The sequence below is a fragment of the Homo sapiens genome, chromosome 17 (genome assembly GCF_000001405.40).
Source record: "Homo sapiens chromosome 17, GRCh38.p14 Primary Assembly".
Lineage (NCBI taxonomy): Eukaryota > Metazoa > Chordata > Mammalia > Primates > Hominidae > Homo > Homo sapiens.
This window is the reverse complement of record NC_000017.11, coordinates 63,727,750-63,755,719: the sequence shown is the minus strand read 5'-3', so window position 1 is coordinate 63,755,719 and position 27,970 is coordinate 63,727,750. Positions and strand designations below refer to the sequence as shown.

The following is a 27,970-nucleotide window of genomic DNA, read 5'->3' as shown; positions in this document are numbered from 1 at the left end:
AGCCATTTCTTTCTATTGGTTGTGTAATGGTAACAGATCTTAGTATCATAAGAATACAGGATAACTCAGAGATGGTTATAAATGTAAGTTCAAGGTGACATGTTTATAAAGGATCCCCTGAAATTATTTTAGGTGTTATCTTTATGCTTTCATTCTTGTTTCGACCATTATTTTGAGAAATATTTTTAGCTGCTCGAAAAGAATCTTAATCATTGGTATGACTAAAAAGGAGTACTACTTTTTTTTTTTTTTTTTTTTTCTTAGTAGAGATGGGGTTTCGCTGTGTTGGCCAGGCTGGTCTGGAATTCCTGGCCTCAAGTGATCCACCCACCTTGGCCTCCCAAAGCGCTTGGATTACAGGCATGAGCCACTGCACCCAGCCTGGAGTACTACTTTAATTCTAAAGAGATTCCCTATCTTATTGAAATTTAATTTTTAAAAAGCTTTAGCCTTGTCCGCGCGCTGTGGTTCACACTTGTAATCTCAACACTTTGGGTGGCGGAGGCAGGAGAATCACTTGAGTCCAGGGATTCAGGACTAGCCTGGGCAACATAGTGAGACCCTGTCTCTACAATAAAAAAATTAGCCAGGTGTGGTTGTGTGTTCCTTTAGTCCCAGCTACTCAGGAGGCTGAGGCAGGAAGATCACTTGAGCCCAGGAGATTAAGGCTATGGTAAGCTATGATTGTGCCACTGCACTCTAGCCTGGGTAAGAGAGCAACACCTTGTCACAAAAAATAAATAAAAAGCAATGAACACGCTTTGGTCTTAATGAAGGACATTGTATAAAAGTAAGGATTGAAAGGTGAATTTCTTTTTTTTTTTTTTTCTTTTTTTTGAGACAGAGTGTTGCTCTGTCGCCCAGACCGGAGTACAGTGGCGTGGTCTCTGCTCACGGCAACCTCCACCTCCCGGGTTCAAACGCTTCTCGTGCCTCAGCCTCTTGGATAGCTGGGGTTACAGGCACATGCCACCATGCCCGGCTAATTTTTTTGTATTTTTAGTAGAGACGGTGTTTCACTGTGTTGGCCAGGCTGATCTCAAATTCTCAAACTCCTTGCCTCAAGTAATCCACCTGCCTCCCAAAGTGCGGGGATTACTGGTGTGAGCCGTTGCACCATCTCAAAGAGTGAATATCTTTAGGAAAAAAAGGGAAATGCATTAAACCTTGCTTTTAAAAAATATTATTTTCTTTTTTTCAGATGGTTCACTTTCTTACACACTATGCTGACAAGATTGAATCTGTTCATTTTTCAGACCAGTTCTCTGGTCCAAAAATTATGCAAGAGTACGTATAAGATAAAATTGTTGAAATTAATTTTCCTCACTAGCTTTCTGTGTTGAAACACCTGTAAGGTGCTTCTGCAATATCCCTTACCAAATGTGTGAAGGAAGTTGGTGACAGGCCTCCACATTTTCCTTTGCTTTGACTGCATGCATCATAAGAGGTCATTGTAAACCTATGGGAGAGAAATGAGCCTCCCCTATCCCAGTTTGTATGTGTCCCTGCATGTTTGTGCCACTGACTCAGTGAGATGGTTGGGAATCTTACAGAATGGCTGGTACTAATAAAATGCAGTGGGTTTTTTTGTTTTGTTTTGTTTTTTGTTTGTTTGAGACGCTGTCTCACTCTGTTGCCTAGGCTGGAGTGCGGTGGCACAATCTTGGTTCACTGCAACCTCCGCCTCCCGGGTTCAAGCAATTCTCCTGTCTCAGCCTCCTGAGTAGCTGGGATTACAGGCGTGCACCACCACGCTCGGCTAATTTTTGTATTTTTAGTAGAGATGGGGTTTCACCATGTTGGTCAGGCTGGTCTCGAACTCCTGACCTCGTGATCCACCTGCCTTGGCCTCCCAAAGTGCTGGAATTATAAGCGTGAGCCACCATGCCCCAGTCCATAGGTTCTTTTTTTTTATGATAATAATTTGTGTGTGATGTTTGACTTATGTCTGATTACAAATCTGTGTGTTTTGTAATTTATGGCCTTTTCTGGCTTCCCTCTTTGAATAGTTAAGTGATTGTATCCTTTCCTAGCATAGAAGCCCACAATGTCCATAGGGTTTCTAGCTTTATAGTAATACTGTTCAGGAGTACATATTCAGGACTTGGATTTGTTCTTTGAATTCACAGCCTGTCTCAGGAGAGCATATTTATTTACCTTTATGCTCGGTTTGAAACTGGTTCTGACTAAATTTTTAGTTAAAGACTACCCTCTGATAGGCTGTGGAGTTGAGCACAATTCAAGCCAATCTGGATTTTAGTTGTATACTAAGATTACTCAGGTCCTTATGCCTCTAGATAGTGCTGCATCATCCTTGTCTTGCTCAACTCAGTGGCACTGAGGACAGTGTTTCACATTGTAGCATTCATCATGCCTTTTAAATATGAGATGGAGGGCAATTGATAGTCAAAGGATTCATATAGGCAGAGATTACAAAGGAATCTTCAATGACAGAACTAAATTATATATGCTGTAGTAGATTATCCCTAAATTTACTCTGAGCCTAACTCAAAAATAAGATAATAAGATGCCTTGTTATAGGAAGATAGAATAGGAGTTGGAAATAAAACATAAAAATGCATCAAAATAAGCAAAAATGTATCTAAAATATGGGCCTCATACTTAAATATAGGCTCATTTCTGGCTCCCCAGGTGAGATGGAATATACCCTTGCCTGGAGGGAACATCACTGGAGGTGTTCAAATATAGGATAAAGATCACTTGAGAATGCATCCATCAGATAGACGAGTGGACCAGATGACCTGTAAAGCTCCTTCATTATATTTGACTTGGGTATGCCAAGCCAAATACTGTGCTGATTATGTGCAGGTATCTGTTCATCTAAGTGTATTGGGTGACTTGTGTACATGGAAAACATCTTTCTTGTATTCCTTCTTAATTGCCTTTTCTTTTATGACAGGGAAGGTCAGCCTTTAAAGCTACCTGACACTAAGAGGACACTGTTGTTTACATTTAATGGTAAGTATTCTGGGTCCTTTCTGGGTTCTTAGTCTTCTCTGAGATGACCTTAAGGAGAGTATTGTTTCCTCCTAAATGATAGCTTTAAAACTACGTCAAAACTATAAGCCTGTGCTTGCTTACTGATTTCCAGATTTCTTCAAGAAGAAATTACCTATTATATATTTTAATTTATATTTTCTGCTGCATTTTAACTGCCTAACAAACTTAGAGAAATGAGTCTCTTAAGATTAAAAAAAAAAAAGAGTTGGGTGACCTGGAAATATTAATGCTACCATTAACTCAGTAGGAAAAATGGCTTTGTTTTCCAGTGCCTGGCTCAGGTAACACTTACCCAAAGGATATGGAGGCACTGCTACCCCTGATGAACATGGTGATTTATTCTATTGATAAAGCCAAAAAGTTCCGACTCAACAGAGAAGTAAGACCCAATGCCTGTATTATATAAATTGGCACCTTTTTTTGTTTCTTCTCAAGGGGGAGGGCAGCTATCAATGATTTCAGTGACTGAATTTTTGCTAGTTGATTTAGAAGTGCCAAATGGGAGTAGTTTTATGAAAGAATGCTAAACGGGATTTTGTTGCTGTTGACTAGAAATGGATTTCTTATGAAATACTTTGTTTCTTGGGGAAGGGCAAACAAAAAGCAGATAAGAACCGTGCCCGAGTAGAAGAGAACTTCTTGAAACTGACACATGTGCAAAGACAGGAAGCAGCACAGTCTCGGCGGGAGGAGAAAAAAAGAGCAGAGAAGGAGCGAATCATGAATGAGGAAGATCCTGAGAAACAGCGCAGGCTGGAGGTTAGACAAACTTATCACTGGGGTAAAACTACGATTTGTAAGGATGACTGCTTGTGTTCTGTTGGTTGTTAAGGTAATCTTTGTAGGCTAAAAGTTTAGCATTTTCTCAACATTTGGGACATTGTATCAATTGATAACACTATAAAGAAGAATAAATAATCCTTCCTGTTCAAGCCGTGCCACACTGAGTCTGTGAACGTGAAAAATTATCAGTATTATCCTGTTCCCCCAGCACAATTTCATTTTGAAAATTCCATTATCAGTTTTCGAGCCAAACACTTTGGTAGAAAGAAGTTAGAAATTTTAATAGAAGGCAGCACATGCGCCCTATTATCTAAATAAACTTGCTATGTAAAATTTAAAATCTGATTATAGAATTAGAGATTTCCAATATTTTTGTTTGTATTTTTGTTTTCTGTTTTTTACCTAACTAGAATCTCAAACTCAAAAGCTTTTTGGGTATAGTATGTTATATTTGAAAGCTCGGTATGATCTGATGTGTTTCTGAAATAAGATGCCATAGTCCAGCTCTAAATTTTTTTTTTTTTTTTTTTTTTTTTTTTTTTTTTTTTTTGAGATGGAGTCTCACTCTGTCACCCAGGCTGGAGTGCAATGGCGCAATATTGGCTCAGTGCAGTCTCCGCCTCCCGGGTTCAAGCCATTCTCCTGCCTCAGCCTCCCAAGTAGCTGGGACTACAGGTGTGCGCCACTCAGCTCTAAATTTTAGACCTTGTAAATGCTGGTCAAGAAAGAGAACAAAGGCCAGGTGCAGTGGCTCACGCTTGTAATCCCAGCACTTTGGGAGGCTAAGGCAAGCAGATTGCTTGAGCCCAGGAGTTCAAAACAAGCCTGGGCAACATCATGAGACCTTGTCTCTACTAGTAAAAAAAAAAAAAAATTAGCTGTGCATAGTGGTGCATACCTGTAGTCCCAACTACTTGGGAGACTGAAGTGGAAGGATTACTTGAACCTGGGAGATTGAGGCTGCAGTGAGCTATGATCACACCACTGCACTCTAGCCTGGGCAGCCAAAAAAAAAAGAGGGAGAGGACAGGCCGGGCGTGGTGGCTCACGCCTGTAATCCCAGCACTTTGGGAGGCTGAGGCGGGAGGATCACAAGGTCAGGAGTTCGAGACCAGCCTGACCAACATGCTGAAACCCCGTCTCTACTAAAAACAAACAAAAAAATCAGCTGGGCGTGGTGGCGCGTGCCTGTAATCCCAGCTACTCAGGAGGCTGAGGCAGGAGAATTGCTTGAACCTGAGAGGCAGAGGTTGCAGTGAGCAGGGATCGAGCCACTGCACTCCAGCCTGGGTGACAGAGGGAGACCCTGTCTCAAAAAAAAAAAAGGGAGAGGACAAAGTTCTGAAAGATGTGAATTTTAGTAAGAATAATCTTGAGATAATTGAAGAATATTCTTAGGAGCAAAGGGGTCACGTGTCCAAGAAAATGTGAGCTGCTGTGCGGGCCTGCATTTGACAGCAGTGTCATTAATGCTGTTGAGTGAACTGCCCAGGATACTGCAGGCCTGTCATCATCATCTTACCCCTTTTATCATTTTTTTGTTTTATTTGACTTGGTTTAGTGATAGGTATTTTTCCCCTGAAAATGTAGCTCTGTGTTTATGCAGTCTTCTTTATAAATAAATATGGCTTTTTATGTACATGTGAAGAATCTACAGAGGAATCATTAATAGGTAATGCCTTTCATTTTTCTATAAAAGGAAGTTCTACATTTCTTTCTAAGGTTTGAAACTATAATGAGTTAAAGGAAGAGGGGGCCTGAAACTTAACCTGAGTCAGATTGTAAGCTTCTTGTCGATGTAAATCATTTAATTTTTTTGAACTACCACTTTATAGTATCTGGTCTGGGCACCTTGTAAAAAGATCTGGTGAACTCAATAGAACAACCCACCCAACCCCCTCTACCAGTATATGATATGAAAGCTCCTTTTTTTCTTTTAATTTATTTTTATTTTTATTTTTGAGACAGGGTCTCACTCTGTTGCCCAGGCTAGAGTACAGTGGCAAAATCGTAGCTCGCTGCAGCTTCGAACTCCTGGGCTCAAGCCATCCTCCCGCTTCGGCCTCCCAATATGCTGGGAATACAGGTGTGAGCCACTGTGCCCAGCCAGAGAGCTCCTCTTCACTCACATCTTTTCAAAAACTAGTTATTAATTTTTTTTTTTTTTTGAGACAGAGTCTCGCTCTTTCACCAGGCTGGAGTGCAGTGGCGCGATCTCAGCTCGCTGCAGCCTCCACCTCCCGGGTTCAAGCGATTCTTCTGCCTCAGCCTCCCTAGTAGCTGGGACTACAGGCACATGCCACCATGCTCAGCTAATTTTTGTATTTTTAGTAGAGATGGGGTTTCACCATGTTCAGGATAGTTTCAATCTCTTGACCTCGTGATCCGCCTGCTTCAGCCTCCCAAAGTGCTGGGATTACAGGCGTGAGCCACCGTGCCAGGTCTTTTTTTTTTTTTTTTTTCCTTATTCTGGTAGTGGGGAAATGGTATCCCACTTGTTTTGTTTTGTTTTGTTTTGTTTGAGACATAGTCTTGCTGTGTTGCCCAGGCAGAGTGCAATGGCATGATCTCAGCTTACTGCAACCTCTGCCTCCTGGGTTCAAGCGATTCTCCTGCCTCAGCTGGGATTACAGGTGCCTGCCTCCATGCCCGGCTAATTTTTGTATTTTTTAGTAGAAATGGGGTTTCACCATGTTGGTCAGGCTGGTCTCGAACTCCTGATCTCAGGTGATCCACCCACCTCGGCCTCTCAAAGTGCTGGGATTACAGGCGTGAGCCACTACGCCCAGCTATTTTTTGAATTATTATTTGAAGTTGAACATTTTTCATGTGTATTGACTTAACATAAATATCTCTTAAATGTGCTAGCATAAATATATTTATCTTTTTTTTTTTTTTTTCTTTGAGACAAACTCACTCTGTCGCCCAGGCTGGAATGCAGTGGCACAATCTTGGCTCACTGCAACCTCCGCCTCCCAGGTTCAAGTGATTCTCGTGCCTCAGCCTCCCAAGTAGCTGGGATTACAGGTGCCCGCCACCACACCTGGCTAATTTTTGTATTTTTAGTAGAGATGAGGTTTCACCACATTGGCCAGGCTGATCTTGAACTCCTGATCTCTCAAGTAATCCACCCACCTCAGCCTCCCAAAGTGTAGGCGAGGTTTCACCACATTAGCCAGGCTGGTCTCGAACTCCTGACCTCTCAAGTGGCCCACCAGCCTCAGCCACTGCGCCCGGCCAATATTTCTTATACATGATATTGTATTCTGTGTATCATTAGTTTTACACATGTGTGTAATATGTAATATGGGAGATAGGGATAGATAGTGCTGGGAAAAGAGTGAATGTGGTGAAGGTAGGGGTTGGGACAATGGGAAGAGGACATTGGGATCGAACCTGGGAGGCAGAGGTTGCAGTGAGTCGGGATTGCGCCATTGCACTCCAGCCTGGGGAACAAGAGCGAAACTCCACCTCAAAAAAAAATTGAAAAGAAACCTAAGATAGGCCGGGCGCGGTGGCTCATGCCTATAATCCTAACACTTTGGGAGGCCGAGGCAGGTAGATCACTTGAGGTCAGGAGTTCAACACCAGCCTGGCCAATATGGTGAAACCCCATCTCTACTAAGAATACAAAAATTAGCTGGGCATGATGGCACACACCTGTAATCCCACCTACTCCGGGGGCTGAGGCAGGAGAGTCATCCCAGGCAACAGAGCAAGAATTCTGTCTCAAAAACAAACACAAACAAAAAAAAAAACCTGGCCAGGCACATTGGCTCACGCCTGTAATCCCAGCACGTTGGGAGGCCATAGTCGGTGAATTGCCTGAGGTCAGGAGTTTGAGACCAGCCTGGCCAACATGGTGAAACCCCGTCTCTGCTAAAAATACAAAAATCAGCTGGGTGTGGTGGCACATGCCTGTAATCCCAGCTACTCGGGAGGCTAAGGCAGGAGAATGGCTTGAACCCGGAAGGCAGAGGCTACAATGACCCGAGATTGTGCCACTGCACTCCAGCCTGGGTGACACAGCAAGACCCTATCTCAAAAAAAAATAAAGAAAAAACCTAAGACAGTCAATAGTTCCCAAACCAGGAATTTACAAATCACCCTTTGAAACCTAATTTGTTGCACTATGAAGAACTATATATGCTTTGCACTTCTTCTTTTCTTCCCTATTTTCTCCATCCTGTACCAGTTGAGTATATTTCTGAGCACATTTTTACCCCAGTACCCTAAAAATAAGAAGTTTGAGATTGTAGCTGAAATAAACTTTTAATCAGGTGTGACCACTAGTGGCCAACAGTGAAGTCATACTTTGACTTGACCTCTAAGGCTTCTATCAGTCCACGTAATAATAACCTGAACCTTCTTACTCTTCTATGTAACTTCCTAATTCCTAAATAAAAATATGATAAATTTGATAATTTTTATCACATTTGATAAATATGATGTCTCAAATAGAGCATTATGAATTTAAGTATTATGTGCAGGTATGGTGTCTGTGCTAATAAGAAATTTGCAATGAATAACCTGATGGAACAAGATTCTTAAAATTTATTGAACTGAAGTAGAATGTATCTTCTGGCAGTTATACATTTATGATATAATGCCATCATGAATGGTATGGTGAACATCAGGCTAAGTGTTCCCTGGGTACAGAAAAAAATCAAACCAGAATAACAAAGGCTGGTTAATTATAGTAGTTTCTTTCAAAACTGAGATTTTAGTTTACCTTTGCTTCATTTGAAGTTGATTTAATTTTTATTCACTAATGTAGATATTGGCAATTATTTTTATAACTATCTTCTAGAATGTTATGGTGCAAGCCTAAGTTTTTGAATAATACTATAGGCAGTATTCTAATTTGGATTTTTTTTTAACATATGTTTCAAGCTTAATTTGAATTCTCTCGTCCCCACTCCCTTTCTCTATTTATTACCCCTTCTTTCTCTAGGAGGCTGCATTGAGGCGTGAGCAAAAGAAGTTGGAAAAGAAGCAAATGAAAATGAAACAAATCAAAGTGAAAGCCATGTAAAGCCATCCCAGAGATTTGAGTTCTGATGCCACCTGTAAGCTCTGAATTCACAGGAAACATGAAAAACGCCAGTCCATTTCTCAACCTTAAATTTCAGACAGTCTTGGGCAACTGAGAAATCCTTATTTCATCATCTACTCTGTTTGGGGTTTGGGGTTTTACAGAGATTGAAGATACCTGGAAAGGGCTCTGTTTCAAGAATTTTTTTTTCCAGATAATCAAATTATTTTGATTATTTTATAAAAGGAATGATCTATGAAATCTGTGTAGGTTTTAAATATTTTAAAAATTATAATACAAATCATCAGTGCTTTTAGTACTTCAGTGTTTAAAGAAATACCGTGAAATTTATAGGTAGATAACCAGATTGTTGCTTTTTGTTTAAACCAAGCAGTTGAAATGGCTATAAAGACTGACTCTAAACCAAGATTCTGCAAATAATGATTGGAATTGCACAATAAACATTGCTTGATGTTTTCTTGTATGTCTACATTAAACTTGAGAAAAAGTAAAAATTAGAACACTGTATGTAGTAATGAAATTTCAGGGACCCAGAACATAATGTAGTATATGTTTTTAGGTGGGAGATGCTGATAACAAAATTAATAGGAAGTCTGTAGGCATTAGGATACTGACATGTACATGGAAAATTCTAGGGACAGGAGCATCATTTTTTCCTTACCTGATACCACGAACCAGTGACAACGTGAATGCTGTATTTTAAGTGGTTGTATGTTTATTTTCTTGAGTAACAAATGCATGAAAAATTAATGCTTCACCTAGGTAAGATCATTGGTCTGTGTGAAATCACAAATGTTTTTTCCTTCTTGGTTGCTGCAGCCTGGTGGATGTTCATGGAGAAGCTCTGTTCTCTATATTATGGCTGTGTGCCGTTGCTTCTCCCTCTGCTTTTATCTTTTCCACAGTTGAGGCTGGGTATGTTCTTTCAAAGAAATGGCCATGAATATGTGTAAGTATACTTTTGAAAATGAGCTTTCCTAAACTATTGAGAGTTCTTTCCACCTCTTGCGGAACCAACTCTTGGAGGAGAGGCCCATGTATCTGCACGAGCACTTAGCTTGTTCAGATCTCTGCATTTTATAAATGCTTCTTACCAAGAAAGCATTTTTAGGTCATTGCTTGTACCAGGTAATTTTTGCCGGGGATGGGTAAGGGTTGGGTTTTCTGGTGGGAGTGGGGTGGTGGGTATTTTTTGTTGATGCTTTAGTGCAGGCCTGTTCTGAGGCAATAACAAGTTGCTGTGAAAACAGCATGTGCTGCTGCCTTTGTAACTGCATGGAAACTTTTCACATGGGTTTTTCTCCAAGTTAATACAGAAATATGTAAACTGAGAGATGCAAATGTAATATTTTTAACAGTTCATGAAGTTGTTATTAAAATAACTAACATAAAACTTAATTACTTTAATATTATATAATTATAGTAGTGGCCTTGTTTTACAAACCTTTAAATTACATTTTAGAAATCAAAGTTGATAGTCTTAGTTATCTTTTGAGTAAGAAAAGCTTTCCTAAAGTCCCATACATTTGGACCATGGCAGCTAATTTTGTAACTTAAGCATTCATATGAACTACCTATGGACATCTATTAAAGTGATTGACAAAATCTCAGAGTGCCGCCTTGACTTTGTGGAGTTATCCTACAAGAGTATAAGCTCAGAGGAAAATTCTTTCTGTTCGATAAAAGTCAGCACTGAAATGCTTTTCCTTCAAAAGAGTTCATCTGAATATTCCTTTTGTTATTACCATTCAATCATTTTAAAAACATTTTATATTTTTAGAGCCCCATATGTTATTTATGGGCTCCTCCCTGCATTCCACCTCTTAAGACTCCATTAACTCTCCTGTGAATGCGAGGACAAAGAGAGGAGGATGTTGTTTAGTGTCACAAACTGGAAAACCACTAAGTCTCCAATCTCATTTGCATTGCCTGGATGTTTAGCAATGCCAAAATAAGCACTGGACTGTAAGACAAAGACCTGGCTTTTAGTGCCAGCAGAACTAATTACTAATCCTTTGACTTTCGGCAAGTTATTAACCTAATGTGAAGTGAGGATAGTAATTATTTGCCCTGCCTGCTTCACAGGTAGTTGAACACTAAGAGAAAATATATATGTGAGATTGTTTTGTAAACTGTTTAAGCACTTTGCAAGTATAAGGCATCATCTAGGACTGGTCTCCAAGTGATGCATTCTTGCTTTACTCTCTTTTGCTTTTCTTTCTCCCAATGGAAACCAAGCAGATCCTTTCAGAGTTCTTTATCTGCAAAAATTGATAGGGTATTTTTTGAGGAAGAGGGGAGTAGCTTATGATTCTGTTTCCTTAGTAGTAGCAAACCTTTTCCTGTAAAGACCAGATGTGAAACTCCTCTTTTTTTTGTTTTTGAGATGGAGTCTCACTGTGTTGCCCAGGCTGGAGTGCAGTGGTGCAATTTCGGCTCACTGCAACCTCCATCTCCCAAGTTCAAGCAATTCTCCTACCTCAGCCTCCAGAGTAGCTGGGACTACAGATGTGTGCTACCACGCCCTGCTAATTTTTTATATTTTTAGTAGAGATGGGATTTCACTGTGTTAGCCAGGATGGTCTCGATCTCCTGACCTCGTGATCCACCCACCTCGGCCTCCCAAAGTGTTGGGATTACAGGCGTGAGCCAGTGCGCCTGGCCCTAACTCCTTTCTTTAGATGGAATTTAGACCAAAGAAAAACATTGATTTCTTATTCCACCCATTCAGTAGGAATTGGCAATTCAGTAGGAATTGTTTAGAATTGTGTTGTACAAGAATCCAGTGGATTTGGCAGGAAGAGGTGAAACACTGTGCTTTATCATCCCAGGTTCTCATTCCTTACCATTCCTGCCTCCTCTCATTTTGAATGATGTGAAACGATGTAAGAGAGACAAGAGGCCGGGCGCGGTGGCTCATGCCTGTAATCCCAGCACTTTGGGAGGCCGAGGCAGGCAGATCACATGAGGTCAGGAGTTCAAGACCAGCCTGGCCAATATGGCAAATCCCCGTCTCTACTAAAAATACAAAAATTAACCGGGTGCGGTGGCACAAACCTGTAATCCTAGCTACTCAGGAGGCTGAGGCAGGAGAATCGCTTGAACCCAGGAGGCAGAGGTTGCAGTGAACCAAGATTGCACCACTGCACTCCAGCCTGGGCAATAGAGCAAGACTTCCGTCTCAAAAAAAAAAAAAAAAAAAGAGTTATACCCATAGGAGTGTCTTCTGTTACAGACTGCTAAAACAGAACAGTTCTGAGACAATATGTTTTCTCTACCCATTTGTAATGGCTGCAAGAAGTTTAGCATCTTTTCAGACAGTCTCTCTAATACTCGGTTCCAAAAGACCACATGTGAAAGACCCTTCAGTAGAACACTGCTAGAAATTTTACTTCTCTGTTTATACTCTGTTGCTTTGTGAGTTTACCAAGTTTGCTCCTGAGAGTGGCATCTTATTTTGAGAATGAGAGCATGTGAGGGTAGCCCTTAGCAATGTCAAAGCACTCGATAAAATCAAAATGATGTGGCCCAGCACAGATGGCTCACACCTGTAATCCCAGCACTTTGGGAGGCCGAGGCTGGTGGATCACCTGAGGTCAGGATTTTAAGACCAGCCTGACCAATATGGTGAAACCTCGTCTCTACTAAAAATACAAAAATCAGCCAGGCGTTGTGGCGTGCGCCTGTAGTCCCAGCGACTTGGGAGGCTGAGTCAGGAGAATTGCTTGAGCCCAGGAGGCAGAGGTTGCAGTGAGCCCAGATCACGTCACTGCATTCCAGCCTGGGCAACAGAGCAAGACTCCATCTCAAAAAAAAAAAAAAAAAAAATCAAAGTGATGTATGTAAGATCAAATGAGAACTCATGTGCATACAGGTCCCACAGTTTCAGGGGCATATTTCTTTTTTTCTTTTTTTTTTTTTTTTTTTTTGAGACGGAGTCTCGCTCTGTCGCCCAGGCTGGAAGTGCAGTGACGCGATCTCTGCACACTGCAAGCTCCGCCTCCCGGGTTCAGGCCATTCTGCTGCCTCAGCCTCCATAGTAGCTGGGATTACGGGCGCCTGTCACCACGCCCGGCTAATTTTTTTGTACTTTTAGTAGAGACGGGGTTTCGCCGTATTAACCAGGATGGTCTCGATCTCCTGACCTAGTGAACCACCCGCGTCGGCCTCCCAAAGTGCTGGGATTACAGGCGTGAGCCACCGCGCCCGGCCTTCCAGGGGCATATTTCTATAAGTCCCTACTTGGATGTAGCTAAACTCCTCCCCCAGTCTTGGAAGTTAGGACGGTCTAAATCTGTGTCAAAGCTCAGAGCTGGCAAGAGCGAGTGTTCATTACCTGATGGTATATATCCGCGTTTTGGATACCCCCTCCTGCGCACGCGGGGGATAAGTCACTGAAAAACCTAGTCTCACAGGAGTGAGGCTTAGTTCATCGCTTCCTCATTTCTCAAGCTCTGCATAACCTGGCTTGGACAAACCTGATAGGTTTCCACAAACGGCTTCAGCTGTGGATGAGGAAGGCTTCGGGGGAAAAAAAAAGATACTGAGGGGACAAGATCGTTTTCATTAGTTGAGCTATTTTCCTTGTTTTACAAATAGTGGGGAGCAAAGAAAGGATGGGCTTCCCCTTTGCAGCTTGTTGTCTGGTGCCCGAGAGGCCAAAGTGAGGGGCATTTGAGATGTCGTCCAAGAAAAGTGCGAGGCGGGTTTTCCATTAGAAGTCCTACCACATGAAATGAGAAAAACACAATTCTCAGGAACAGCCAAGTTTGCCTTTCTCTGGTCCTTCATTGTTGAAGCCACCTGCTTCCCCCTCCTGCTGCGGGGGCGGAGGCTGTAGGCGGAAGCGCTGCGCGGCGGGAAAGACAACGGGAACTGAGAACCGCTCTCGGCGCGGCGGCGGCTGCTAGGGCCTGCCGCAGCCGCGGCCACTCGGAAAGGGCGGGACTTCCCCGCAGGGCGGGGTGGGGCGGAGCGCTCTATCAGTCCTCCCGGTCGCCCCACTGCGCATGGCACGTTGCGTACTCCCCTCCCAGCAACCGGTCTGGCGGCGGCGCGGCAGTAAAACTGAGGAGGCGGAGCCAAGACGGTCGGGGCTGCTTGCTAACTCCAGGAACAGGTACCTGCCTGGCGGGGTGCCTGGTACGCTGCCGGGGCCAGTCCCTCCTGGCTCTGCCACCGATTCCATCTCCCCAGGCCCGGGCCTTCGTCGGAGCGGCCATCCTGGGCTCACCTCACCCTCCACGGGCCCCCTTTTTAACCCGCGTCCTCGACTCCCGCAATGAGGCGCCGCAGCCCGAGAGCAGAATAGGCTTGGGCCTGGCGGGGAGACGCTGAAGCGGAGTTGCCGGGCGAGAGAGGCGGGCTCCTGCTTTCCCCTTCCTCCCCACCCCCTAGGACTTCCAGGTGGGGAACCTAGGGCTGGGTGCCGGTTTGTCCTGTTCAGGCAGAGTGGCGGCCGACCCCGGTCCTGGGCTCCCCGCTGTCCCCAGCCGCCGCGCACTTTGGGCTGACAGGCAGCGGGTCAAGTCCTCGTAAGGACACAAGATCCAGATGACTCCCAGAATCGGCCTAAACGAAGAGCTCATTGTCTTTTTGTTTTCCAGAAATGTTTTTTGGGTGCCTGCAGGGGATTTGGGCGCCGGAGATGGGGGTTGGGGATAAGGAAGAGAGCTCGAGGGAGGGGCAGTGGGTAGGTAAAATTGTTCATAGTTCTCAGGAAATAGGGAACTAACCTCTCTGCCCAGCCTTCTCCTGTATCCTAACATACTTTAACTTGACTTTCCCGGAGAAAGAGCCGTTGGAATTTGCCCTTTTCTTATTGTAATATCTGTTCAAGTAGAAGCATGTTCCAATACGTATATGCGACGTTAAGACAATTCTTCATTGACACTCATACCTTCCTGAAGACACCCAGGACTGTTTCTTGTCCCTGAGAGTTAAGGAAGAAACCAAATTTGATCACCTGCCAAAAGCCTGTGAATTCAGCCTTTAGTTACAGTGCTGAACTGGTCAAATCTGTCCCCTACTTTTTAATCAGATTTCTTAGAGGTGTTTTGGCTGGAATGCAGTGTTTATAGTTGTGGCCCCAGAAATGGAGGAAGTTTACTCTGGTTTTTAGAGCGCAGGCTTTGGAACAGATTTAATTAGTCCCCTACCACTTATCTGTGTGACTTTGGGCATTTAACCTCCCTGCACACCTGAATTTCCTGATCCGTAAAACAGAGATGATAATACTTGTGAGCTGCTCATGAAGCATTTAGCACAGTGCCTGACACGTAGGAAGTTTGCCATAAATGTTTGCTGGGTTTATTATTTTCTCTCTTTATTTTTATTTTAATTTTTTTGAGATGGAGTTTCGCCCTCGTCCCCCAGGCTGGAATGCAATGGCGCGATCTCCGCTCACTGCAACCTCGGCCTCCTTGGTACAAGCAGTTATCCTGCCTCAGCCTTCCGAGTAGCTGGCATTACAGGCACCCCCCACCACACCTGGTTAATTTTTGTATTTTCAGTAGAGACGGGGTTTCACCATGTTGGTCAGGCCGATCTCTGAGGTCCTGACCTCAGGTGATCCACCAGCCTCGACCTCCCAAAGTGCTGGGATTACAGGCGTGAGCCACCGCGCCCGGCCAATAAAGCTATTTCTATGTCTGTCCACTAGTAATATTGCTTTGTTGTGTGTGTGTGTGTGTGTGTGTGTGTGTGTGTGTGTATATATATATATGTATGTGTATATATATATGTATGTATGTATATATATATATATATATATAGTGTTAAATGTTTCTGATAGGCTGGGTACCGTGGCCCACCTCTGTAATCCCAGCACTTTGAGAGACTGAGGCAGTAGGATTGCTTGAGCTCCGGAGTTTGAAACCAGGAACAGGTACCTGCCTGGCGGGGTGCCTGGTGCACTGCCGGAGCCAGTCACTCCTCGCTCTGCCACCGATTCCATCTCCCCAGGCCCGGGCCTTCGTCGGAGCAGCCGTCCCGGGCCATATAATTATGTACATTATATGTATATACATATAATTATGTACATTATATGTATATACATATAATTATGTACATTATATGTATATATGTACATATATACATAAATATATAATGTATCAATATGTATACATAATATATACACATAAAATTATATATGTATACATATTAATACACTATGTACATATATAATATATACATATATGCATAATATATAATATACACATACATATGTATTTCTTAATTTTTGATAAGTGTGGATATATCTTTCGAATGATATCCATCTGCCCTCCCCTTCCATTAGAATTTACATTTTAAGGACATTTACATTTGCATTTTAAGGAAATTTGAAGGGAGCAGAGTGATGATGTTAATGTCATACAGATAACCGGGCATGGTGTAATCCTAGCACTTTGGGAGGCTGATGCAGGAGGATTGCTTGAGTTCAGGAGTTTGAGACCAGCCTGGGCAAGTTCATCTGTACATGATTCAATCTGAAAATAGAAAAGTCCTTCATAATTTGTATACCATTTACTGCTAATCACTAGGTAGAGCTACTCTAAACCAGCTCAGATGAAATTTATTAGTAAGATTTTATCAAAGAAAATACCTGTGTGCAGTTATTAAAATAATTGTATAGGGGGCTATAAAGAAAAATACCAGTCTCATCTCTATCTCTCTCCATCCCTGTGTCTATTTCCCTTTTTTTTTTTTTTTTTTTTTTTTGAGATGGAGTCTCGCTCTGTTGCCCAGGCTGGAGTGCAGTGGCACGGTCTTGCTTCGCCTCCCAGGTTCACGCCATTCTCCTGCCTCAGCCTCCCAAGTAGCTGGGACTACAGGCGCCCGCCACCATACCCGGCTAATTTTTTTTGTAATTTTAGTAGAGATGAGGTTTCATCATGTTAGCCAGGATGGTCTCGATCTCCTGACCTCGTGATCTGCCCGCCTCTGCCTCCCAAAGTGCTGGGATTACAGGCGTGAGCCACCGCACCCGGCCTGTTCCCCATTATTATTATTATTATTATTATTATTTTGAGATGGAGTGTCACTCTGCAGCCCAAGCTGGAGTGCAGTAGCACAATCACAGCTCACTGCAACCTCCTGCCTCAGTCTCCCGAGTAGCTGAGACTACAGGTGCATGCCATCACACCCTGCTAATTTTTTGTATTTTAGGAGAGATGGGGTTTCACCATATTGCCTGGGGCAGTGTGGAACTGCGGAGCTCAGGAGATCTGCCTGCCTTGGCCTCCCAAAGTGCTGGAATTACAGGCAGAGCCACTGGGCCTGGCCTCAATTAATTTAATCATTTTTTGTTTTAGTCCTTTAATGATGGACTTCTGTAATTCTAAACAACATGTTTAGACTTTCCACTGACAGGAGAGACAGAGAAATGACTAGTGAAGCTTCTCCTTATTTTTCCAAGAGAGTAAAGGTCATGCTGAATCTCACACCACCCCCTCCTCACTGCCTCCCAACTTTTTCTTTTTTTCATTTTCTTTTTCTTTTCTCTTTTTTTTTTTTTTTTTGAGTCGGAGTCTCGCTCTGTCGCCCAGGCTGGAGTGCAGTGGTGTACTCTCGGCTCACTACAACCTCCGCCTCCCGGTTTCAAGCAATTCTCCTACCTCAGCCTCCCAAGTAGCTGGGAGTACAGGTGCCCGCCACCATGCCCGGCTAATTTTTGTATTTTTAGTAGAGACGGCGTTTCACTATATTGGCCAGGCTGGTCTCGAACTCCTGACCTTGTGATCTGCCCGCCTCGGCCTCCCAAGGTGCTGGGATTATAAGCGTGAGCCACCGTGCCCAGCCCCTTCTTTTCTTTTTTCTTTTCGTTTCTTTTCGTTTATTTTCGTTTTTCTTTTCTCTTCTCTTTTCTTTTCTTTTCGACGGGGTCCCTCTGTGTTGCCCAAGCTGGAGTGCAGTGGCTCAATCTCAGCTCACTGCAGCCTCCACCTCTGGAGCTCAAGTGATCCTCCCGTCTCAGCCTCCTGAGTAGCTGGGACCACAGGCACATGCCACCACACCTGGCCAGTTTTTTTATTTTTTATAGAGTTGGGGTTTCAAACTCCTGGGCTCAAGTGATCCACCCACCTCTGTTTCCCAAAGTGCTGGGAACACAGGCATGAGCCACTGTACCCAACCAGCACCTCCAAACTTTTGATAGTTGAATCCCTCTATTTTTACACTTGTTGGTTACCTTTGTAACCTTAAATATTGTACATAACTTTCTATTTGTTATCCTATCAACTTTCAGTATTAACTTTACCTTCTTAGGAAGATAGGGGTATTAGCTTCCCCAGTCATTCCTCTATCTCTTCCCTGTTCCATTTCCCATCTTCTGTCAGGTGAAACTTTACTTTCATATTATCAAATTTGAAGGCATTTACATTGTGTTCTATAACTGTAATTAAGTTTATCATGCTTTGTCTATAGACTTAAAATTTATAAGCTGATGATGAGCACTTAACAGTATTGTAAGTATTATTCACAAAACAGCCAAGTGTTATTCTGCACTGCGGTCCACTGTCCTAACTTCCTTCTCATTCAAGGTCAAGTGGATTTTCTTTCTCATTCCTTGCTGAACTATCTCAATTTTTTTTTTTTTTTTTTTTTTTTTTTTTGAGATAGAGTGTTGCTCTGTCACCCAGGCTGGAGTGCAGTGGCATGATCTTGACTCACTGCAACCTCCGCCTCCCAGGTTCAAGCGATTCTCCTGCCTCAGCCTCCCCAGTAGCTGGGACTACAAGCATGTGCCACCATGCCCAGCTACTTTTTGTATTTTTAGTAGAGACAGGGTTTCACCATGTTGACTAGACTGGTCTTGAACTCCTGACCTCAGGTGATCTGCCCTCCTCAGCCTCCCAAAGTGCTGGGATTATAGGCGTGGACCACTGTGCCCAGCCATGCTATCTAAAAATTGTAACACATTTAAGTTTGTTTCAAATTCGGACTTTGACTTTTAAAATATAGTTTTAATTTCTGTTGGAATTTTTGGTTGCCTTTCTGCTTGATTTTTTTTTGGTGGGGGGGGCGTGGGGGGAAGAAATAGGCCACTTTCCACCCTGTCCGTGATATTTTTCATCCTTTATAATCTGTATATTTCATGATATTATTATATTTTCTTCAACCTGCCAACTTCATGTTCTAGTTTTGACTGATTCCTTTCTTGATCAGCTTCGTAGCTATCATCTTGAGATATCTCTTCAGTGGACACACCACTTTATTATTATTTTTTTTTTCTTGGGGCAGAGCCTCACTCTGTCACCCAGGCTGGAGTGCAATGGCGTGATCTTGGCTCACTGCAACCTCTGCCTCCCAAGTTCAAGCAATTCTCCTGCCTTAGCCTCCCGAGTAGCTGGCATTACAGGCACCTGCCAACATGCCTGGCTAATTATTGTATTTTTAGTAGAGACAGTGTTTTGCAATGTTGGGCAGGCTGGTCTCAAACTCCTGACCTCAGATGATCCACCCGCTTCAGCCTCCCAAAGCTCTGGGATTACAGGAGTGAGCCACCGCGCCCGGCTGGACACACCACTTTTTATATCTCATAGCTTCCTTTTTAAATTTTAGCCTCATTTTACTGGAATATTATTTGGAGTACATTAAAATAATTTCATTAAAAACCGTGTATGGGGCTGGGTGCAGTGGCTCATGCCTGTAATCCCAGCACTTTGGGAGGCTGAGGCGGGTGGATCACCTAAGGTGTTTGAGACCAGCCTGGCCAACATGGTTAAGCCCCGTCTCTACTAAAAATACAAAAATCAGCCGGGCGTAGTGGCACATGCCAGTAATCCCAGCTACTCCGGAGGCTGAGGCAGGAGAATCCCTTGAACCCAAGAGGCAGAGGTTGCAGTGCGCCAAGATCGCACCATTGCACTCCAGCCTGGCCTGGGCGACAGAGCCAGACTCCGTCTCAAAAAAAAAAGAGGAATAGAAAAGCTGCTGACTGGGAGCTCTGTGGATTTAAGACTCATGGACATGAGTGGGCAGTTACGCCAGGGGCTTGTTTTCAGCCCCACTTCTCCTTCCCTCATTCCTTATTGCGCAGTTTTGTTTCAGAACCCCTTAGGATTGTCTGCTGGGCATATCTGCCGTCTCCTCTACTATACTCTCCATTCACATTCTAGCCTGCAGCTTTCTCTCCATTTCCTGAGACAGCACCCTTATGTCCACTTTTCAACTCCTAGAAATTTATTGAAATTTCATCTAATAGCTCCTCTCATTCTGTCCTCAGATATATGGTTATTATTTGTATTCCTTTGCCTTAATTGGGACCTTGGGAGAGAGGTGAGATTCTAAAATCTTAAATCAGAAACCTGAAATCTAATCTTTCTAATTCTCTGAAAAAGTTAATTTTAAGGTCTCTCCTAGAAACATAAGCCATTATTATAAGCATCACTATCAGAGGGAGAAAGATATTTGTCTCAGGTGTCAGACGGATGTCATTAACCTCATTTTAGAGTTATTAACGTTGAGATTCGGCAAGCCAAAGTATGCTGATCAAGTTAACACAGATGCAAGAACGCAATTCATACCATGCTCGTCTTATTTCAGAGTATGTGCTTTTTTTACTACGCCATATTGTCACCCTTAAGTATAAATCTCTGACTTCAGGTTACTCTTAATGAGCCTTTAGCCATGTTTTAACCTTATTGATTATTCTTACGATTTGTATAGTAACATTATGGGTGAAATTAGCTCACTCTTTTTTTTGAGACAGAGTCTCGCTCTGTCACCCAAGCTGGCGTGTGCAATGGCACGATCTCGGCCCACTGCAACCTCTCCCTCCTGGGTTCAAACGATTCTCCTGTCTCAGCTTCACAAATAGCTGAGCTTACAGGTGCCCGCCACCATGCCTAATTTTTATATTTTTTATTAGAGACGGGGTTTCTCCCTGTTGGTCAGGCTGGTCTTGAACTCCTGACCTCAGGTGATCCACCTGCCTTGGCCTCCCAAAATGTTGGGATTACAGGTGTGAGCCACCGTGCCCAGCCAAATTTGCTCTTTTCTAGATGTTAACCTTTCCTAATAGCTTCTATTTTTCTAAATTAATCTTTACTATCTTTGAAACATTTCCAAGTTCTTTGTGTGTCTTTACCATTTTCTTACATAGGACTGAAATACACATGTGGTAAATGCTGTTAGGGAAAGATTAATTTGGTCAAGGTTGAAGTTAGTTTGGCAAAAATTCAGAAAAAGCAAAAGTATCCCTGATTCTTTTTTCTTTTTTTTTGAGACAGGGTCTCACTCTGTCATCCAGGCTGGAGTGCAGTGGCGCAATCTCGGCTCACTGCAACCTCTGCCTCCCGAGTTCAAGCGATTCTCAGCCTCCCAAGTAGCTGCAATTACAGGCCAGTGCCACCATGCCCGGCTAATTTTTGTATTTTTTATAGAGATGGGGTTTTCACCATGTTGGCCAGGCTGGCCTCTAACCCCTGACCTCTAGTGATCCGCCTGCCTCAGCCTTGCTAAGTGCTGGGATTACAGGTATGAGCCACCGTGCCCAACCTATCCCTGATTCTTAATCCAGAATGACATTTCCTCTGCCTCTTCTCATTTAGTGAACACAGTAATAAAAGCATTTTTAGAACATTCTTATTGAAAACAGTGACAAGTTTCTTAGAGCTTTTGATATAAAATAAAGGCTATTCAAGTACAGTTCAGTAAAAATAATTTTATTGGAGGCAAATAGAGTAAGACCTAGGCCTGTAGCCATCCATTGGCCAGCCTTAATCCAGGAATAGATTTAGAACATTTAAAATAATTTCCTTCAGGTATCCCTGTATTGGAGGTTCCCAAGAACACCCTCAGGTTCAGTAATTCACTAGGAGGACTCACAGCACTCAGCATATAGTCACATTCATGGCTAGGATTTATTTCAACAGAAGAATACAAAGAAAAACCAGCAAAGGGAAACAGCACATGGGGTGAAGTCTGGGGGAAACCAGGAGCAAACTTCCAAGGATCCTCCCCAGTAGAGTGACACAGGACTCAAAGCAAGAAGTTGTGGTAGCATGTGTGAAATGTTATCAACCAGGAAAGCTCATTAGAAACTCCATACCCAGGATGGTCATGTAGGCAGCCTGTGCCTGGCATGTATCAAAACTGGACTCCCAGAAGGAAAGCAGGTGTTCAGCATAAACCATACTGTTTGTACAAATAGTTTAGGCATAATAAGCCACTCTTGTCATTTTTAGGAAAATGGGAAATCTCTCAAAATCCAAGTTCCCCAATGCCAGCCAGTGGCTAACCACGTAAGCAGACTTTTTAAAGGATAAGAAGTTAGGCCTGCTATATTAACCCTTCTTCTGCAGAATCCCAGTCTGTAAATACTATTTCTTTAAATTGGTCTTTTGAGAGATATGGGAATGGGAGTGGGTTGAAGATTGTATTCTTTGAGCCAGTTCCACTTGAGATGAAAAATAAGATAAACAAGAATAGAAAAGCAAAGATAAAAGGAAGAAGAAAAAGCAAGAGAACTGAATACAATTTTTAAAAGGAAATAAAAAAAAAAGATTGTATTCTGACAAATACCAGGATTACTGCTGTTTTATTGTCAGTTATATATGACCCATATGTCTTAAACATTTAGTAGTGAACATTGAGGAGTCTGATAAAGATTCATACCTGAACAGAAGGGTATCCTATCTCTTTGCAAAAGTGTGTCTAGCTTGTGCCCATTGGCAGGCCCAAAATCTTCTTAGGAAATGGTTTTTAGTTGGAAGGCCGAGGTGGGCGGATCACCTGAGGTCAGGAGTTTAAGATTAGCCTGGCCAACATGGTAAAACCCTGTCTCTACTAAAAATACAAAAAAACTAGCTGGGTGTGGTGGCGGGTGCCTGTAATCCCAGCTACTTGGGAGGCCGAGGCAGGAGAATCGCATGAACCTGGGAGGTGGAGGTTGCAGTGAGCCGAGACCACACCATTGCATTGCAGCCTGGGCAACAGCACGAGACTCTGTCCTTCCCCAAAAAGAAAATGGTTTTTAGGCTGGGTGTGGTGGCTCATACTGTTAGTCTCACCACTTTGGGAGGCCAAGGTAGGAGAATCACTTGAGCCCAGGAGTTCAAGACCAGCCTGGACAACATAGTCTGTTACCTAGGCTGGAGTGCAGTGGTGCGATCGTGGCTCACTTCAACCTCTGCCTCCTAGGTTCAAGGTATCCTCCCACCTCACCCTCCCAAGTAGTTGGGACTACAGGCACATGCCACCATGCCTGGCTAATTTTTATATTTTTGTAGAGATGGGCTTTCGCCATGTTGCCCACACTGGTCTTGAACTCCTGAGCTCCAGAAATCCATCTGCCTCAGCCTCCCAAAGTGCTGGGACTACAGACATGAACCACCACGCCCGGCCTACACAAGCAATTTTTTTTTTTTTTTTAACTAGCCAGGCAGCTTCTCACACCTGTGGTCCCAGCTATTCAGAAGGCTGAGGTAGGAGGATTGCTTGAGCCCAGGAGGTTGAGGTTGCAGTGAGCCGTGGTTACACCACTGCTTTCCAGCCTAGGTGACAGAGCAAGACCCTGTCTCCAAAAAAAGAATGGTTTTTAATATGCCACTATTGGCCAGGTGCGGTAGCTGACACCTGTAATCCTAGCACTTTGGGAGGCCGAGGCGGGTGGACTGCCTTAGCTCAGGAGTTTGAGACTAGCCTGGGCAACATGGCAAAACCCCGTCTCTACTAAAAATACAAAAAATTAGGCCAGGCGCGGTGGCTCACGCCTGTAATCCCGGCACTTTGGGAGGCCGAGGCGGGTGGATCACAAGGTCAGGAGATCGAGACCATCCTGGCTAACATGGTGAAACCCTGTCTCTACTAAAAATACAAAAAAAAAATTAGCCGGGTGTGGTGGCGGGCGCCTGTAGTCCCAGCTACTCAGGAGGCTGAGGCAGGAGAATGGCGTGAACCTGGGAAGCAGAGGTTGCTGTGAACCGAGATTGTGCCACTGCACTCTAACCTGGGCAATAGAATGAAACCCTGTCTCATAAAAAACAAAAGAAAGAAAGAAAATTTGATTTTATTTTTAAATTCCAAAATTTTTCCAGACCATAGAAACTTTTTTTGCAGATAAAAACATCTATCTGCCTCTTTACACTAATTTTCTCTTTCTATTGTAGACTACATGAGGATATGGACCTTTTTTCCTCTTAAATTTCTTTTGCATGATGCTTTGTGTTTAATACTATTAAATATGCATTCTAATCATGTTTTTTCAAATCTATATTTTTAAAATTTTGTGACAAGATAAATGAGTGATTCTCAGCTGGGGTTGGAAAAGGAGCTTCTATAAGAATATCAGGGCCGGCCAGGCGCGGTGGCTCATGCCTGTAATCCCAGCACTTTGGGAGGCCAAGGCGGACGGATCACGAGGTCAGGAGATCGAGATCATCTTGGCCAACATGGTGAAACCCCGCCTCTACTAAAAAAATACAAAAAATTAGCTGGGTGTGGTAGCGCATGCCTGTAATCCCAGCTACTGGGGTGGCTGAGGCAGGGGAATCACTTGAACCCAGGAGGCGGAGGTTGCAGTGAGCTGAGATCACGCCACTGCACTCCAGCCTGGTGACATGGCAAGACTCCGTCTCAGAAAAAAAAAAAAAAAAAAAAAAAGGAAAGAATATCAGGGCCAGGTGCAGTGAGTCACGCCTGTAATCCCAGCACTTTGGAAGGCCCGAGGCGGGCAGATCACGAGGTCAGGAGATCGAGACCATCCTGGCCAACATGGTGGAACCCCGTCTCTATTAAAAATACAAAACTTAGCAGGGTGTGGTGGCGCACGCCTGTAGTCCCAGCTACTCAGGAGGCTGAGGCAGGAGAATCGCTGGAACCTGGGAGTCGGAGGTTGCAGTGAGCCAAGATCACCGCTGCACTCCAGCCTGGCAACAGAGCGAGACTCCATCTCAAAAAAAAAGAATATCAGGGTAGGGCCAGGCGCAGTGGCTCACACCTGTAATCCTAGCACTTTGGGAGGCTGAGGCAGACAATTGCTTGAGCTCAAGAGCTTGAGACCAGGCGCAGTGGCTCGCACCTGTAATCCCAACACTTTGGGAGCCTAAGGTGGGTGGATCACCTGAGATCAAGGGTTCGAGACCAGCCTGGCCAACATAGTGAAACCCTGTCTCTACTAAAAATACAAAAAAATTAGCCAGGTGTAGTGGTGCGCGTACCTATAGTCCCAGTAACTCGGGAGGCTGAAGCCAGAGAATCACTTGAACCTGGGAGGCAGAGGTTGCAGTGAGCCAGGATCGCGCCACCACACTCCAGCCTGGGCAACAATGCAAAGCCCGTCTCTACAAAAAATACAAAAATTAGGCATGATGGCATGTACCTGTAGTTCCAGCTACTCAGGAGGCTGAGGTGGGAGGATGGTTGGAGCCCTGGAGGCAGAGGTTGCAGTGAGCAGAGATCACATCACTGCACTCCAGACTGGATGACAGAGCCAGACCCCGCCTCAAAAAAAAAAAAAAAAGTCAACTAAGTGCAACTGGCCTAAAAAGCAGTTAGTCCAGATTGTAGCAGGAGACCGGAGGGCCCTATGAAGGCAACTTCCAGGAGAAAATTCTAATTGATGGGTTTGAGGGTATGGAAAAATACATTGATAAGGCAAATAGCAGAGATGTTGGCGTGTTTGTAAAAAGTTAATAATAGCTATATGGGAAACCAAGCAAGTGAACAAATGAGGCAGTTATTAACTCTAGGAAAAAATAGGTGTATAAGGAAAGAGAGACATTGTCTGGGCACAGTGGCTCATGCCTATAATCCCAGCACTTTGGGAGGCCGAGGCGGGTGGATCATCTGAAGTCAGGAGTTCGAGACTAGCCTGGCCAACATGGTGAAACGCCATCTCTACTAAATACAAAAATTAGCCAGGCATGGTGGCAGGCACCTGTTATCCCAGCTACTCTGGAGGCTGGGGCAGGAGAATCACTTGAACCTGGGAGGCGGAGGTTGCAGTGAGTCAAGATCGTGCAACTGCACTTCAGCCTGGGCAACAAGAGTGAAACTCCATCTCAAAAAAAAAAAAAGGAAAAGGAAAAGAGACATGGTTTTTTTTTTGTTGTTTTTTTTGGTTTGTTTTGAGATGGAGTCTAGCTCTGTCACCCAGGCTGGAGTGCAGTGGCGCGACCTTGGCTCACTGCAACCTCTGCCTCCTGGGTTCAAGCAATTCTTCTTTCTCAGCCTCCTGAGTAGCTGGGACTATAGGTGCCTGTCACCATGCCTGGCTAATTTTTTTGTGTATTTTTAGTAGAGACAGGGTTTTACCATGTTGGTCAGGCTAGTCTCGAACTCCTGACCTCAAGTGATCCACCCACCTCAGCCTCCCAAAGTGCTGGGATTACAGGCTTGAGCCACCAGGCCTGGCTGAGACATAGTTATTTCTATTTGCCTCAGCTCTGAACCATATTTGCATAGTCATAATAATATAAATGTGGACTATTGATTTAACCAAATTATGCCAGAGCTATGTTGGTAGAATGAGAGCAGGAGATACAGTGGAAGATGATGCTATAAGAAGCTTCATCTTCATCTACCATAGTAGGAAGTTAAAACTGGCTGACTCTGGGTACATTGTCTATGAGTTAGCCCTGCTCTGCAAGGAGCAGTAAAGAAAATTTTAAAAGTCTAAAATTAAGTCATACCCATATAAACATTGTTTAAGAATAATTATTAAAAAGCAGGATAACACTGTGCATGGTGGCTCACGTGGTAACCCCCACACTTTGGGAGGCCAAGATGGGAGGATCGCTTGAGTCCAGGAGTTCCAGACCAGCCTGGGCCACATAGAGAGACCCTGTCTCTATAAGAAGTAAATAAATAAAAAGCAGGATAACCATGGAAAATAACTGAAGGTAATTGCTTCTGGGAAAAGGTTAGTGGGGGATTAAGTCAAGAGAAATTTAGGAATTAATTTAAAACCATATAATGACAAATTTCTCTTTCTACAGAAATTAATTAATTAAAATTTTTTTTTTTTTTGAGACAGTCTCACTCTGTCACCCAGGCTGGAATGCAATGGCGTGATCTTGGCTCACTGCAATCTCCATCTCCTGGGTTCAAACGATTCTTAAGTAGGTGGGATTACAGCCATCTGCCACCTTGCCTGGCTTTTTTTTTTTTTTTTTTTTTTTTTATAGAGATGGGGTTTCACCATGTTGGCCAGGCTGGTCTCGAACTCCTGACCTCAGGTGATCCGCCCGCCTCGGCCTCCCAAAGTGCTGGGATTACAGACGTGAACCACCACATCTGGCCAGAAATTACAGAATTTTATAATGTACTTGGCCAAAGTATATTCAGATTTATCATCACTTAAAGTTTCTCTAAACAAATCTAGCAATTTATAGGTGAAGTCCAGTGCTTTGAATGGTAGACCTGTAATAAGTTTTTGTTAATCAGAAGATATTTCTCTATAAGGAGATTTTTGCTAACTCAACCTGTTTCTATTTTCCTTTTAGGTTTAAGTTTTTGAAACTGAAGTAGGCCTACACAGTAGGAACTCATGTCATTTCTTGTAAGTAAACCAGAGCGAATCAGGGTGAGTGTTTTTCTATTCTTCTGGCTTTACTATTTTTGTTTTCTGAAAAGCAGTGTATTTTGGCAGATGTTGTAGGTGGTTTTCTACGTGAGGGTCGGAATGATACGGAAGTGAGGGATGTAGGAAGTAAGGCAGGTAGTGCAGCCTCCACTCCTGAGAAGAGTTTGCAGACAGAGGCTGACCAGAGACACAAAATTTACCACCAGCTTGTCTGATAGAGAAGAAATAAGAAGAAAGTGGCTTATTTCATGAATATCAGTCATACAACATTAAATGAGTCGATGATACTTTTAAGTGTAGACGTTTAACTGCTTATGACCCCCCGTGAGGTTGTGAGTTTTCAAAATCAAGTTGTAATTACTAGGACACTTTTTTCTAAGTAATATCATTAGTTTTAATTGAAGACATTTTGAACATGAAAGATTTTATTATACTTCAAAACTTCGTCAGATAAAATGATTTCAAAAACAATACTAGATTTAGCTTCTTTACAAATTCCCATTATTTCATGAGTTTCTTATTTTCTTTATTATCAAGTACCTAATTTCTAAATGCAGTTGTAATTATTTTAGAATTTTGTAACA

At 43.3% G+C, this 27,970-nt stretch overlaps 2 protein-coding genes across 18 annotated transcripts in view, besides 4 other annotated features; both read left to right on the top strand.

The window, feature by feature from the left end:
* CCDC47 (coiled-coil domain containing 47) overlaps nt 1-10,465 on the top strand; it is a 28,343-nt gene extending 17,878 nt beyond the window's left edge. For both annotated transcript variants that reach the window (NM_020198.3, XM_005257527.3), the window contains exons 9-13: nt 1,202-1,287; nt 2,921-2,979; nt 3,291-3,400; nt 3,613-3,780; nt 8,759-10,465. In NM_020198.3, coding sequence (NP_064583.2) covers nt 1,202-1,287; nt 2,921-2,979; nt 3,291-3,400; nt 3,613-3,780; nt 8,759-8,839 — 504 coding nt within the window. In that variant the 3' untranslated portion in view covers nt 8,840-10,465. The remainder of the gene's footprint in view (nt 1-1,201; nt 1,288-2,920; nt 2,980-3,290; nt 3,401-3,612; nt 3,781-8,758) is intronic.
* Nucleotides 13,639-13,758: a silencer, noted in NCBI's record as "silent region_8830". NCBI's record gives its function as "represses an Ori minimal core promoter by ATAC-STARR-seq in GM12878 lymphoblastoid cells {active_cell/tissue: GM12878}" and the evidence as "EXISTENCE:reporter gene assay evidence [ECO:0000049][PMID:35858748]".
* Nucleotides 13,734-27,970, top strand: part of STRADA (STE20 related adaptor alpha) — a 39,155-nt gene continuing 24,918 nt past the window's right edge. For 9 of the 16 annotated variants that reach the window (NM_001165969.2, NM_001363787.1, NM_001411084.1 and 6 more), the window contains exons 1-2: nt 13,734-13,979; nt 27,307-27,386. In NM_001165969.2, the coding sequence (NP_001159441.1) occupies nt 27,351-27,386 (36 nt within the window). In that variant the 5' untranslated portion in view covers nt 13,734-13,979; nt 27,307-27,350. The remainder of the gene's footprint in view (nt 13,980-27,306; nt 27,387-27,970) is intronic. The other 7 variants (NM_001363789.1, NM_001003786.3, NM_153335.6 and 4 more) reach the window with 2 other exon arrangements.
* Nucleotides 15,262-15,430: a silencer, noted in NCBI's record as "fragment chr17:61817650-61817818 (GRCh37/hg19 assembly coordinates)". NCBI's record gives its function as "represses an EF-1alpha promoter that drives an FKBP-Casp9 reporter gene in an ReSE screen in phorbol 12-myristate 13-acetate-treated (for megakaryocytic differentiation) K562 erythroleukemia cells {active_cell/tissue: K562(+PMA)}" and the evidence as "EXISTENCE:reporter gene assay evidence [ECO:0000049][PMID:32094911]".
* Nucleotides 15,262-15,795: a biological region, named in NCBI's record as "H3K4me1 hESC enhancer GRCh37_chr17:61817285-61817784".
* Nucleotides 15,296-15,795: an enhancer, noted in NCBI's record as "H3K4me1 hESC enhancer chr17:61817285-61817784 (GRCh37/hg19 assembly coordinates)". NCBI's record gives its function as "activates a minimal SCP1, AML or CMV promoter by ChIP-STARR-seq in primed H9 embryonic stem cells {active_cell/tissue: H9 hESC(primed)}" and the evidence as "EXISTENCE:reporter gene assay evidence [ECO:0000049][PMID:30033119]".